The 15489-nt window shown below is 34.5% G+C and overlaps 1 protein-coding gene across 3 annotated transcripts in view; it reads right to left on the reverse strand.

The window, feature by feature from the left end:
- The window catches only part of KCNH5 (potassium voltage-gated channel subfamily H member 5), a 345995-nt gene that overhangs the window by 304913 nt on the left and 25593 nt on the right, over positions 1 to 15489 (reverse strand). For all 3 annotated transcript variants that reach the window (NM_172375.3, NM_139318.5, XM_047431275.1), the window contains exons 2-3: positions 12455 to 12578; positions 1990 to 2096 (exon numbers count right to left, since the gene is read on the reverse strand). In NM_172375.3, coding sequence (NP_758963.1) covers positions 1990 to 2096; positions 12455 to 12578 — 231 coding nt within the window. The remainder of the gene's footprint in view (positions 1 to 1989; positions 2097 to 12454; positions 12579 to 15489) is intronic.

A 15489-nucleotide genomic window follows, 5' to 3' on the forward strand; every position in this document is an offset into this window, starting at 1 on the left:
TTACAATGCTATGGGGTATATATCCCATTGGCTATAAGCAGGCACTTATCTGCATAGAGAGTTATCTGGAAAGAACCAGATAGGCCTGAACAATGATCAGATAATAATTTCAATCCATTAACATAAGGCAAAATAACTAAACTACCTTGGAAAGACTTCTGGAAATGTAAAATTCAAGTAATTACTAAGATGATTTAAAGTAAATAAACAGAAATTCCACTAAGATATTTTGTTGTGGTGGTTGTCATTACAGGGTCTTGCTCTGTCACCCAGGCTGGAATACAGTAGCATGATCATAGCTCACTGCAGCCTCGAACTCCTGGGCTCAAGCCATCCACCTGCCTCAGCCTCCTGAGTAGCTGGGACTATAGGCATGTGCCTCCATGCCCAGCTATTTTTTTTTTCATAGAGGCAGGGTCTTGCTATGTCACCTAGGCTTCACCTACATATTTTTTGAGAAACTCAGGAACTATGGACTTGTCTTTGGGGCTTTAAAGTCAGGCAAATGTTTGTTTATTTTGCTTAAATGTCAGAGAGTGAATGACCTTAGTTATATAGAATATTCTTAAATTATTTGCTAAACTTGGAGCACATATCTAAATTATTGAAGGCTTAACAAACCATAGGAAAATGAAGGATTTTTTGGTATACAGGTCTCCTACAAATTATCAATATGTACTTAGACTTGGCAAAAAAAGACCCAGAAAGCACCTACAGTCTGCCTTTTCTCTTGCAGAGGACAGAGCTGACCATTCAGAAGGGATTGTTTTCTAGGTGACAAGCTAGCTGACATTTAGCTATGACTTCAAACTGAAATTCTCTTTGGGCTTGATGTAAAATGAAAAATAAGATAAGCCATTCCTTAAGTAAAATTACTAAAAACAAATGTTTCCATTATCAAGTGCACTACTTTGAGGCAATGTCTCACGCTGTTATTCCTTTGTTAGTCTACTAATAAAAAGAGAAATCGAATTTTAATTCCAAATATTCCACAGATAAAAAATGTTTCAAGTAAATGGAGAGGATAAATTATGCTCCACAAGATCCAACAGGCACTGAACATGGAACAGGCGTTTCCTGTTGAAGCGAGAATGTTTTCCAAACTTGGGAAGAATTTAGTAACCATCAATTTCCATCAAAGATAATAGTAGACTTTGCTATCATTTGCTATTAACAATAAATAAATTGACTCATCTTATGAAGTGACTGTTCATTTCAAAAAAGAAAGCAAGAACAATTTGAGGAAACAGCAAAAAGATAAATGTAAGTAACCATGCAAATAAAGTGAATTAGAAAGGGGAGTTGTTGAGTATACTGTTGGTTTTTGTCATGTTGGTTTTTTTCCCTCCAAACTCTGATGGAAAGTCTATATCACCAGATATTATGTCATTATATAATGCATACCTTACCACATACAAATCTCATCCCAGAGAAAGGTCACAACAATCAACACAAATTTACCAAACGTGAATGACTTGTTCTGAGAACAACGACTACTTCTACTAGGCTTTCTCACAAAAGAGTCTGAGGCTGGCAAAAGGCCATATTGGTAGAGATTCCCCTCAAGTAGCTACCACATATTCACATTGCCTATGTTCGTGTCGAAAGGTAATTGCATATATCCAGTGTTAACAATTACCGTTTTCTTTAACCATAAGAAGAAATTAATACATGTATCTGTCAATTTTAATCGTTGTCACATAATTATAGGATCTTTATTATAAGTATTAATTACAAAATATTTTGCTGCCTGATACAAAAGTCATATTAAGATGCATCACATTTTTCTTCCATTCCTCAAAAGGTTACTTTCCATAGGTAGAATTATTTATTAATTTTATTATCTAATTTCACCAGCAACCTCTGCCCCTGCCAAGAAAAGAAGCAACAGAAGGTTTACATGCTCTCTACATTTTAGCTCCACTACGACTTACCAAACATAATATTAATAAAGAGTTGGCACATCTTATTAATAATTGAGATACCTACTGTTTTTCTTGTACAGAAGAACTTCAAAGCAGTTTGATTCGTAGTTGTCAAAAGTTTGCCTGACTTTCTCAATGGTCTTCTTGTCAGTCAATTCCCCATACATAAAACTGGGGGGGAAAAAAAACAAACAATCGATTTCACTTTTGTGTTGCCTTTCAAATGCTACAAAAATCATATAATTGTCTTTGACTAGTCAAATGTGGCTAGAAAATATAATATTGCTCCTACACAGAATAGTCAAATCATGAGAGGCAGTTCTTGCTTTACACAGTTCCTGTATGCACAGATTTCAGTCACTGTGGTTTAGTTAAATAACACCAGTTCCACAGCACAGTTCAAATTTCAGTTTCCACAGTATGTTAACTGTGAGTAATTGCACAAAGTGCAAGCTTTGCCACTTGATCTTCAGTCTACAAATCACTGGAAAATAACAGATGCACCTTCACAACCAGTCACTGATCACATCACTTCTTTCAAAGCCTGTCAGTATTGGAAACAGCACGGCTGTTACTCAGTTCACGCACAGACAGAAAAGCATGTAGTCATATTGCCTCCTTTTCTCTCAGTGATAAACCCATATGACATTTTACAAAAATGGATAATCAAAAGCAGTAAGTAGCCAACAAAAACTAAAGTCCACCAAAGAAATGAAAAATAATAATGTTGGAAGTGGAATTCAAATTGAACATAAATGAAGTTATAAGAGAAATAGGTGACCATGGAAATGTCAATACTACTGCCATTTGGGAGACTCTAAATATGCATCCAAAAGGACTTAGTGAAGGTGAGCTCATCCATATAAATGAAGAAAGTGGTTGTGACAAAAAGGATGAAGGTTTCCCAGAGGAGGTGACACCAGTTTAAAAACAAACCAAAAAAACCCTCCTTATTAAAGGAGCTCTAGTACATTGATCACAATAGTGAAAGTGGAAGAATAAAATATTTGAAATTAATTCTAACTTAGAAAGGAGGATGACAATTTTCGAGAAGATAGAAAAGATGCTCTCTTTATACAGAAAGTTACATTCTGAAAAGCCAAAGAATTGTTTAAATGACTCATAAGTTTTTTAAGAAGAAATAAAACACTTCCTCCATTCTCAACGTTTCTAATGTTCAAAATCACAGTACACTAAATAAATATGAGTTTTACTATGATATCATCTCCCTGCATTGATAACCAACAGTAAGAGAGTTTTTATTGTTTTGACAAACATTTTTAAAGATGCTAAAACCATCATAATTTTTATTGAGTATTAAGATAGTATTATGTGGTTTCAGCTTGCATGGACCTTATGTTCCCATACTATCATTAAAAAAGTGAGGATTGCATATGATACATATAATGCATTGACATTCTCATCATTTCAGGGAATTTTCTTAAGATAGGTACAAGTGTGGCTAATGGAAGGGAAGTAAAGATGGCATCTTGAAGGAATCATACATTATTACAGTGGTTAGAGGAACATACAAAACATAGATTAAGGAGTGAATGTCCATATTCCACAAAAACTTTCTAATGTTTGACATTCTCTATTTTTCTAAGAGAACCTTGGCAAAAGTCTGATCATCTAAATAACAAAACTTGCCCAAGAACTACATGTCTCTAAAACTCCATTCTCAATGCTTTCAAATCATCAGTTGTACATCTGGTTTTAGATACACAGTTCTGCTGATCGGTATGATTGTCCAGACCATTTCTTCCACCAGGAAAGAAAATGTGGCATTACTAAACACCTTAACTAAGATTTTGAAAGATCAAAAGTCTGTCTTTGTTATTGCTTTTCTTTCAGTTTTCAAAGAGTTCACATATTTACTAGAGGCAGATCCAAAGTGTGGTGGAGGCTGAAGCTTATACAATTTGTGAAGCCCTCCTTAAGAAAAAGAATACAAAATTATAAAACAAGATTACAAACAGAGCCTCGAAAGACATCCACTCAAATGAGGGCCCCTGAAGGTTCAGCTTCATTATAGGCTCACAGAAAATCTGCACCTGAAAATACCAATCAATAAAATTTACAACCTAAAAGGCATAGTTTTTCAGCAAGATCCAGTAATGACACACAGGATCCAATAGCAGCACCACATTACAACCAGAAATTACAGGGTAACTCAAGCCCACCTTCTATAACACCAACCTAAGCAACTAGAATTCTAGAAAGTCAGAAATGAAAGTGGGTAAGGCAGATCAAAGATTGTCCAAGCACCGAGAAACCTGAATCCTTCATTTTTAATATATTTAATTTAAAAAGGAAAATTTTAATTGTCATTAAAATAATAAAATAAGTAAAAGGATCTCAGAATAAAATGACAGACTCTTAATTCCATAATCTTATATCTAGACTAACACAGGAAACCTCAAAGCACACCTGCAAGCTGGCACTGAAAAGCCACTGTTACTGTCAAAGCTGAAATTTCAGCTCATGAGAGTTTCATAAAAATTGCTTGAAGGCATTACAATTAAATTAGAATTATTCAGCTAAAGAACATAAAGCCACTTCTCTCCCAAAAAAATATTAGCTTAATATTGTACATAATATTTTTATAGACAAGTGAAATTTTTAAATCTTTTTTTACTAACTTTTATTTTTAATTAAAGAATCTTAATAAAGCAGAAACATTTTAAAATTCAAGATAAGGGCAATTAAACTAAGTAAATATTTGTAGTCTTAAAAGAAAGAAAGAAAAACCATTTCACACTGCTACTAAATGACAGGTGTCTGTGGTTCAATAAACTGAAACATAATATTCGCAATTGGTCAACAGAAAAACAAAATAAGAAAGAATTTATGATATAACAAGCAACTAGGATAAAAATTATCAAAAATTAACTCCAATAAGATTTAAAAGTAAGTTACAACTCAAATTTAAAAAAGAAGCTCTTTGAGGGATTGGTTTAATAACACCAACGAAGAAAAAATGCAACACAGGTCTGATGCAGCTCAACTTCTGAAGAGAAGATAAAAACAAACAAGCAATTTTTAAATAAACCATAAAAATTTCATAATACACCTCCATTAGTTAGTCCTTCCAATGCTAAAATCACTTATCCTAGGAAAATAAAGGCACTTAAGAAAAATAATCCTATATTATTAAAATCCGAATGCGGTTTTTAAAATAGTCTTTCATTTCTTACATTGTTCCACTCAGATTTTTCATTTATTATACCGCATATTTCCAGTGATAGAACATGTATTTGAAGGGGTGACATGTAGCAGTTAAATAATAAGAGGTATTTCAAAACAGACTATAAAGAATGTCAGAAATGTACTATCTATCTATCCTCCCAAGGCAAGTGTTCTGGAGGTTAATTCAATCTCTGAAAGTATTTTCAGCCAAAGTTGTCCAAGCCATACTGATAAATCAATGATTCCCGCATTCTCTGTGGGTATGGCACATTTGTTTATTTGCTTGGCTTTGTCACATATGAATGCTGAAATGTTTTATCACAGGTTCCTGAAGCCTGACTCAGGATGACTGAAGCTCAATGCAGTCTTTGAATGGTTAATCAATTTGAGGGGTCACAAATTATAGAAATAGTAATCAACGGGCTTTAGAAACCATATATAATAATTTTCCATAGTTTTCATATCTTCTACCAAATATCCTCAAGGAATATGTAACGGAAATATTTTTAAAATCACAAAACTTCCACTTGCTCTCTTACATAGGATGCCAAGCTCCTCCTTGGTAATTATAAATGAACTACTGCACTGTTACTTTATTGAAAGGAAAATAGAATTGGATTCACAGAAGCAATCTATCTCTGTTATAATATTGGGCAGTCATGGTATAACAGAGGACTTTTGCATTTGGAGGACCACTTACAAAGTGGATAATTTATGGACAAGTCGTATATCCTCTCTGACCCATAGTTTCATCAGTAAAATAAGGACAATAATAATATAACTCAAAGGGTGACAAAAGGATAATGCAAATAAAGTTACAAATTATAACGTGTTACACAATGGCTGAAATATGACTGGAATGTACGGATGGGACTAGAATGCCCCTTCCCCACCCCAGCCTCACTCCCTAGCTTCTCCAGGATTCTCCAGGAACCATGCTTTCCAAAAGGCAGTGTGTCACTGTGTCTTAAAGGGAGATGTGCATGGTTCTGTGAATCTTCTTTCTTCACAAGCCCATGAGGTTGAAGCAAACGCTCACTCAGAACCTGCTCCTGTATAATCTGGCCACTTTTCTTGTCACACAACTGACTGGTTTCATCTTGGGAATAAGGGATAAGTTGTCTTCAGGCCTGGTCTAGGCCATACCCAGCTCGCCTAGGCATCTGGCAGTTATCGTTCATGTGTGTCTGACCTAGAAAACTTTGAGGAACAGGTGGTTTGGGCTTGTAGCAGGATTTATTTATTCTTGGATCCCTTGCTCTGCTCTCAAAATCTCACGAACAAGCCTCATTATAGTACCTAGCGTAAGAATGGCTATAACGATTGACAGACTTCCAAAGGAGAAAAGAATCTTACAACTCTGAAGAAAACATAACCTATTCATGAGTTCCACCAACCTCTCTTACTCTGCTAAATGTGCAACGGTGTGTCTAGACTAAAATGCAACAAACATTCAGTCACCATAATACAGGGTAATATTATCTGCAGGCTGTAGTTCATAGATTAGCAAATCCTTCGTCAAAACAAAGCAACACAGATAGACTTAACGCAGTTGGTAAATGTGGTCTCCAGCTCAGAAGTGGCCACAACCATAGAATCATAAAGGTTAATGGGAGGTGGACTGAGATCTACAGTCGAAGGATCAAAAAAGATAAAGCCTGAGAGAGGGGAAGTTAAGGAGGAAAAATTAAAAACAAGAATACAGTTTTCGGCCCGGCACAGTGGCTCACGCCTGTAATCCCAGCACTTTGAGAGGCTGAGGCGGGCAGATCACCTTAAGTCAGGAGTTCGAGACCAGCCTGGCCAGCTGAAACCCCATCTACACTAAAAATACAAAATTAGCTAGGCATGGTGGCGGGTGCATGTAACCCCATCGACTTGGGAGGCTGAGGCAAAAGAATCACTTGAACCCAGGAGGCAGAGGTTGCAGTGAGCCAAGATCATGCCTTTGTAGTCCAGCCTGGGCAAAAAGAGAGAAAGTCTGTCTCAAAAAAAAAAAAAAGAAATACAGTTTTCAAAATCTGAAAGAGGTAATTTTGGAATAAATCAAAGACATTCCTTTATACAGAGGATCATAACCAAAAGGTTTCACAACCCATTGATTTACATGGTCTTCAAAGGATTTCACTGGAGTAAATAAATGGTTGATCCATGACATGTAATTAAGGAAAAACAGGGATAGCACTGTATACCTGTAATCTTCGGAGTCTGACATCACCAAGACACCTCTGCCCTTCAACACTTTTCATCAGTCTCACCATGAGAAGCACAGCCCTCAGCCAAATGGAGCCGGACTGACTGGCATCCATCATGTGTCACATGCTCTTGGTAGCTGCTGAGATAATCCTGTGTTCATAAAACTGCTGTGAAATCTGCCCAATAAACTGTTTCTTAATAGCTCTGACTCATTGTCTAACTTGATGGGGTTGGATAAGGGATTGTAAATGGTCTTTCAAAAAAATGTATCTGAGAGCATCTATCTACCCCTCAATCCACCCTACCTAAACTACCTGATTGTTCTTCTCACCCCTCTATCCAAAACAAAAACAAAAAATGACAGCAGAATAGGCTCTTAAAAGTTTCAGGTTAATTAGAAGTAAAATGCTAAAGTGGTTCCTACCTAATCTATGACAGTATATCCCAAATGTCAGAGCTTCTACAGGTCATGAGATAAGATCATATGCTTTTAAATGTCATTCTCCCAAAGTCTATAACCTCTTTTAAACATGCGATACTTTTCATGTCCTCCAATAAACAGCAAAACAGTGCAAAGGCGTGGAAAATGCAGTGTCCACAGTAAAATGGACAACATTTGAAATTCCTAGGGATCCGAAAGTGTCATAGTGTCATAATTTTACCTAAAACAAAAATGAGACAATACCTAGCACACATCAGATATTTTCAGATAGGAATTTCAGTACCATTATGACATAGCAAAAATGTAGGAAAACCAGAATCCTCACTAATGGCTGCTGAGAATGGAAACAGAAGGCTACTCTGTAACAGTCTTATAGCAGTTAATTTACAAACTCTGCATATATTCTATTATCCAGCAATCCCATTTCTGGGGATAGAGACAGAAAACGTCTCACACAGGGCCACAAGAAGATGTGTAGGACGATTCTTATTTCCAAGTTGTTTGAGGTAGCAAAGTGTCAAAGTTAGATTCCAGGACTACTAGAATGTATAAATAGAACGAAGGCTGTGAAGACACTACAACATTAGACAACAATCAGACATGATGAATAGATCATCATACGGTGACACAAAGAAGTCTAAAAACATAATGGTGAATGAAAAGAGTAAGAAACCATAAATATTACAGTGTGGTAGGAATTAAATAGATCTTAACAACCAACATATGCAAAGCAATATCATTTCAAGAATACACATATTTAATTAACAAGCAGAAGACAGATTAGAAAGACATACAATAAACACACTTTAGAATTAATAACCATAAGAGGAACAAGGGGGATGGGATGAAAGGGAAAAGAAATAAAAGGAAAAAAATAAAATAAAATAAAGAGAGACCTTGCTTAGAGAGAGCAAAATGACAATATTGTGACAAACTGAGGAGTATGTTTAATTTGATTCTGTGTGTCTGGTCCAATGTGGGAGGGGTTGAGAAGGACAAAGAAGAAAAAAGATAAGAAAACAGAAGAAAGAAATATTAGCCTCTTGATATTATAAAAACACAAATTAATGTGTTTTTATTTTACCATAAAACAATTCACTTTTGAACATTCAAAACTGTGGCATGTAATCATTTACCTAGTTGCCACTTTAACCCTATAGACTTTAATTCATCTAATGCAAGTTGGATACAAAAATGATTCTTTTTTCTGAGATATATAGTGTCAAAGCTTGTATTTTCCCATATAAAATGAAGCTCACTGCTTTGTAGCTTCTTATTCTCTTATGTCTGTCTAAAAACTTATAATGATAAGCAAAATTTTTAAATTATTTACAAGGATATTCTCAGTGTCAAATACTTATCTCCATATTCACTTATAAGTCAGTAATTCCACACACTATAATAACTTTTAGCCATCAACCCCGTGTTTCTAAATGTGCACCTCATTTTCTTTTTTTCTCTCTCTGTTATTTTGTGTCTCACACTTAAAGGCTTTTCTGGATTTATTCAAGAAATGGGAAAAAAGCGATATGTAAAAGAATTTGAGTCATGATGCAAACACTGTTTTATAAACTGCTTGGGGGGTGCTTTTGGGTTTGTTGTTTTATTTCATTTTAGGCTTTTTTTTACTTGATAATATGTTGTTAGTTTTTTCCAGTGTCATTATCCTTCCAGTATATACAACATATGATGTAGCTAAACTTCTACTACTGGATATTTTGATTCCTTCCAGGTCTTCAGTCTTCTAAATAATGCTACAGCAAACATAAAATGGATATAGTTTAATTTTAAAAGAGAATAAGGAAGTTTAAAAGAAGAACACATTAAAATAAATCATGCTTCCAAGAAAAACTGATAAAGGTCAGATATTTGTTCATATATCAGATGCTAGTCTTCATTGTTCTGTGAGGGCATTAAACTGGTTGCAATTTTTAGGTTAACAAAACACATCTGGCATTTTATGCAAGTAAGTAATAATTGTTTACATTAAGAACATGATCATTTGAAAACACTGTCTCTGATAAGTAAAGACAATTTGGGGAAAGACTCAAACACTTTTTTATACAGTTAAAAAGCATGGTATAATCCAAAACTCTCCCACCTCAAATGTCATAACACAGGATGAAATACAAGAAATAACAGTATGCTATCCAGAGCATGTGAGACCTAGGTTACGGTTTATTGCAAAACAAGCCAATCCAATTCAATAAATACTGACATAAGACACTGTCTTGTGTCCTGTTGTGCATACAAAAGTGAGCAAGATGGAGACCCTACTTTTAAGGCACTTACAATCTGGTACTTGTGTTAGAAGAAAAGCAGCTCTTTCATAGGAGCAAAGAGCTAATATAACACACCAGCACTTATTTTCTTAGTGAATCCTTTATAGGAAAAATTGTACTTGCCAAAGAAAATAGGCCAGGGATAGGGCAAATACATGGGACACAAGAAGGGATGAGAGCAGGACTGAAAATAGATCCAGATATGAAGAGTAATACTTCTCAAAAATGGCAACAAAAGCAATAAAGCAATAAGAATAAAAACCCAAGGGATAAGGCAAGTTAGTTTAAGGCCAAATGATGATGCCAACAGAAATATACACAAGAAACTATGAGGAGTCAGAGAAGGGAAAAACCTGTCTTGCTTAGGGAAGCATAAATACCTTCAGGTAGATGAGATCTGAGATAAACCTGGCATGAAGACGGGATGTCAGCAGTCCAAGAATAAGAAATGCGAGTGTGAGTATATCTGTGTTGCCTGGAACTCTCTATGGACCTGTTCCACAGGATAACGTCTACCATGAAACTCAGCTTTTTCTAACTTAAACTGCCTTCTGGGGGATAGGAGAGGAGCAATGCTTAATATGGCCCAACGATATCAGTGCTAGCAAAGGGACCCTCTCAACCAGAAGCCACAGATTTTCATCACTCCCATTTACCAATTTCCATACCTAGGAATGAAGAATGAATATGAGAATGCCTTCAGTAGAGGCAAAAATGAGGATGGCTAGAGGAGCATAGATTAAGGAAGAGAATGTTTGAGCAGATTATTTCTCAAGCCTGGATAGGCACCAGAATCATCTAAGCTGTTGGTTAAAAATACTGACTCCCTGCTTGACCCACCCACTTCAGAATCACCTACTGATTCTAATTCAGTAGGTTTAAGCGGGGTAGGAATCTGTTTTGCAAAACCTATTTAAGTGATTGCTATGTGCAGTCAGGTTTAAACTCAATGGTATAATATAAAATATCTACATTTCATGATGATGAAGGATATCTAGAGAGGGAAAGAGAGAGTTATCAACCAATCCCTTCTGTATAACATGGATGACTCTCTCTCTCTGCCTTTCTCTCTCTGTATGTACGTATATATACAGATATACATGTTCCTCTGATTACTCAGTACCTAGATTATTCTTGGCTCATGGTAGATGGTAGGTGATCAAAAAATATTTATTGAATGAATTGATTAATTCACAGATATATAAACAGTTATATACATAGAGAGGGAGAGAGTCATACACAGGGGATTGGTTCCAGGATCCCTGCGTATATCAAAATCCGTGCACACTCAAGTCCTGCAGTTATAACGCCCTGTGGAACCCACATATATAAAAAGTCAGCCCTCTGTACCCAAGGGTTTCATATCCCCTTGAATATCATATTTTTGATCTGTATTTCTCTAATACTATATTTCTGATCACATTTGGTTGAAAAAATTAACCTATAAGTGACCCACACTGTTCAAACCAGTGTTGTTCCAGGGTCAACTGTATATGCATTTAACCATTTTATATATACATATATATATGTATATATATAATGCTTCTCAGCATCAATGGGTAGAAAAAACAAATCACTATTTCTCTGGGCAAGTCCCTTAACATAGCTCTACCTCAGTTTTCTCATCTGAAAAACAGAGGATTTGGCCTAGAAAAAAAAAAAATCAGATTCCTTGTAGTTCTAAAATAACTTGGTTCAGTGCTTAGTTAAATGAGAGCTTTAAAGAAAAATTAACTCACGGAAAAAACATCCCATCTGGCCTTACTGAAATATTGTGAAAAGTTTTAGGTTCTAAATTAGTTCCTTATATATAGTTTCCTTTTCTTTTTTCTGATCCCCTTTTTTCTTAATATTCTCTTTAAGCTCACAGAAATGGCATATTTGTTTAAAGAACCATTATAATAATATAAATGTCAGATTCTGTTGTACATGAGTCAAACAATGTACCATTACCAAGTACATGTGGCTTACACAGGATATAAGAGCTTTATTTTATGTTCTTTACATTCTCATGGACCATGTTTAACTTGGCCAGGTGGTGTTTACTCTGTTTTATTCAAGACAATTTAGTTGTTCCAGAGGTGCTGTAGATCACATGCCACAAGTTGTTCCCTGATACAAGACGTTCCTCTGATTACTCAGCATCTAGACTATTCCTGGCTCATGGTAGGTCATCAAAAAATATTTATTGAATGAATTGATTAACTCACAGATATATACAAATCTTTCTTTTGGCAAAAGTTCTCACCAGTGGCTCTTAAGCTATGTGTTTCCATTGATAATTTAGTCTCCCTAATATTCTAACATAATTTTTAACTCTATGGTTTGTATATGGGAGTCCAAGTAAGCTTAAGCCTTTTAATTACATTCAGATTTTTGTTAAATTTCAGAAAAGATTACTTAGCTATTCTGTTACCTACCTGCAAGTGCTGCTTTTCTGCATGACGTCAGCTCGATGATATCCAGAGAGTTTACAAAAACCGTCATTACTATAAACTACAGGCCAATCCACAATCTGGGCATTTCCCAGTAAGAAACTTGATTCTGAAGAAGAAAGGAGAAAAAAGGAGGTTATTTAGCTTAATTCAACAATGCACTTATTTCAAGTAATCAAAAAGGCAAACTTATAAAGATGGACACATACAACTATGGTTTGTAATTGTACAAATAATATAACCTGTTCTTGAAACTGACATAACCAGGTTTGCATGATCATGAGACCTGCAATAAATATCGAATTTATATACAAACTAAAAATTCCATTTAAACGAAACCAGTTTATAATAATTCTTTCCATTCAAGTATACCCTAAGCTATGAAATCAAAGTGTAGTTAGTAATAAATAATGTTAATGACTATAAATTACACCTAAAAATTGGTTAATTTATTAAGATTAGGGCTATGGTCACTTCCCTACAAATTGAGAATATTGAAGTTGATAATAAAAGAAAATTGGATGACCCCCTGCAAAAATTATATTAATATATTGCTGACATGATGGAACAATTTTTTTGTCCATTAGACTAATCTTGAAAAGTCTAATTTAAAATAGAATTTAAAAGTCTTCCTTTAAATTAAAATTATTCAAAGATATTTTCAACCACATAATACAGATAATTTAGAAACTATCAGTATTCCAAATAAAAGAGATATTTTTGTTCTATTTTACACAGAAAAGTAGGTTTGCTTTTGTATAAATTAATATAAAATGATTGAAAATCCAATCATATTAGGCAGTAACTTTAGCAGTTTTGTAAACCACATGTTATATGTCAACATTAAAATGAATTAAAATTAAAATAATATTAAAATATATAAGTGAACACATTTTTAATATAAATAATTTAAAAGTAAAAATTTTTAAAGCAATAATATGCTTCAAAATTTCACCTAAGAAAATTTCCTTTGAACTCATACTCAGGGTAGTATACTAAAAATATAACAAATTTTTTAGAAGACTTTAAATCCTCATTCATAATTGGTCTTCATAAAAATAATAATGCAATTTAACATTTATTAAGTAGTTGCTGTATAAAAAACTGCTCTGGGTCAAACAGTGGGATAAAATAAAGATTAGTAAAACACACCCTTTGCTCTCAATAAGTGTGTATGTTGAAAACAAATATGTAACAACAAAATACAACTGCCAGAATAGATACTAAAGAAGCATGGGACAAAATATGAAAAGCAAAATCTGTTTGAAGCCACTAGGAAGCAACGGAAAGTAGGCACAAACTGGAAAAGATAAACCCTTGAAAAAGAGAGGCTTTATTAGCTGAGATAGTCATTTAACTGTCTATTCCGCTGAGAGCACTTGCCAGTTTGGGAAGTTCATGGTGTGAAAGAGCTCAAGCAGAAGTGTCTTACAAGTCTAAGGAGTCAAAGGTCACAATTTGGGGGTGGCAGAGCAACTTGGAGTTGGGGAAATCCTTTAATTGATGGAGTGATAAACTTCCGCATAATATACCTCAAATCCTTCTTGTGGCCAAAACTGGGCAGGCATAGGGTGAGACAATAAGGAATCCAGCAGACAGCAATGGTAAAGGGCTAAAGAGATGGATAGAAATTTCACCAGCTCCCCGAAGGTAGAAGATGAATTTCAGAGTTCAAGTCCCATCAAGCTAGAGAAGCTTGAAAAACACCTCAAGCCTTCCATCTAAACAGAGAAGGCCATGCATTAGGAGTAAGAAACAAGTCATAGGATGAACGGATATGCCCTGGGACTAAAATAAAAAATGTAGAAATTAGACCAACACGAAAAATAATCTTAAAATCAAGTCTCTTCATGATCAAGGTCATCCATCAGTAATTTAACTGCCTGATTTTTAAAAAAATGTAATTCTCCTCAGAGGAAAACAATGAAATCCCAAATCTCTACAATGTATTGATATAATGTCCCAGAAACAATCAAAAATTATTAGACAGGCAAGAAATGGAAAACCCTACAATTACTATGGAAAAAAGTAGGCAGTAGAAAAAGAAGTCAATAGGTAAACACAGAAATAATGCAATCTCTGAAATTAAAAATTTATTGGATTGGTTTAACAGCAGATTGGACACTAAAAAAGAAAGAACAATTTGAAAACACATCAATACAAGCTATTGCAAACTGAAGTAAAAGAGAAAAAGATTGAAGACATGTTCTGTGGGACAATATCAAGCAATCTAAAATATATGTAGTTGAGTCTGAAAAAAAAACAAAAGAGAGCACACATGTTATTGGACGATATGATAGCTAAAATTTTTCCAGATAGAATGAAAACTAGCAACTCAGTAAACCACAAGAGAGATAAACATAAACAAGCTACAGTAGGAATACCTTTCTTGGTCTTTTGTTCCACATCAAAAAGTGTTCTATTTTCTGCAAATTGATCTACAGATTCAATACAATCACAATGAAAATGACAACAGGCTTTTTTGAGGAAATTGAAAAATTATAAAAGTTTGTGAAAATGCAAATTAAAGTAGTTAAAAATAAAATATGAAAAAGTAGAACAAAGTTCTACTATAGTAATTAAGTAAACTATAGTAATTAAGTAAACTATAGTAATTAAGATGGTGTGGAAATGGAGTAAGGACAGACAAGTAGACCAATAAAACAAAATGAGTTCAGAAACAGGCCCTCACATACAACGTCAACAGCTTTTTTGCAAAGATGCCACGCCAACTGAATAGGTAAAGTCTTTTTCAATGAATTTTATTGAAACAACTAGATATCCATATGAGCAAAAATTGAAACATGACCCCTACCTCATACACAAAAATAATTTGAAGTGGGTCATAGATGTAAATATAAAAGGGAAAATTATAAACCTTCTAGAAGAAAACATAGAAGGAAATCTTTGCAATCATGAGGAAGACAAAAATTTCTTATATAAGCCTCATATAGCAATCACCATAAAAGAAAATGTTGATAAATTAGGCATCATCAAAATTACTGTCAACTACTCATTCA

The sequence above is a fragment of the Homo sapiens genome, chromosome 14 (genome assembly GCF_000001405.40).
Source record: "Homo sapiens chromosome 14, GRCh38.p14 Primary Assembly".
Lineage (NCBI taxonomy): Eukaryota > Metazoa > Chordata > Mammalia > Primates > Hominidae > Homo > Homo sapiens.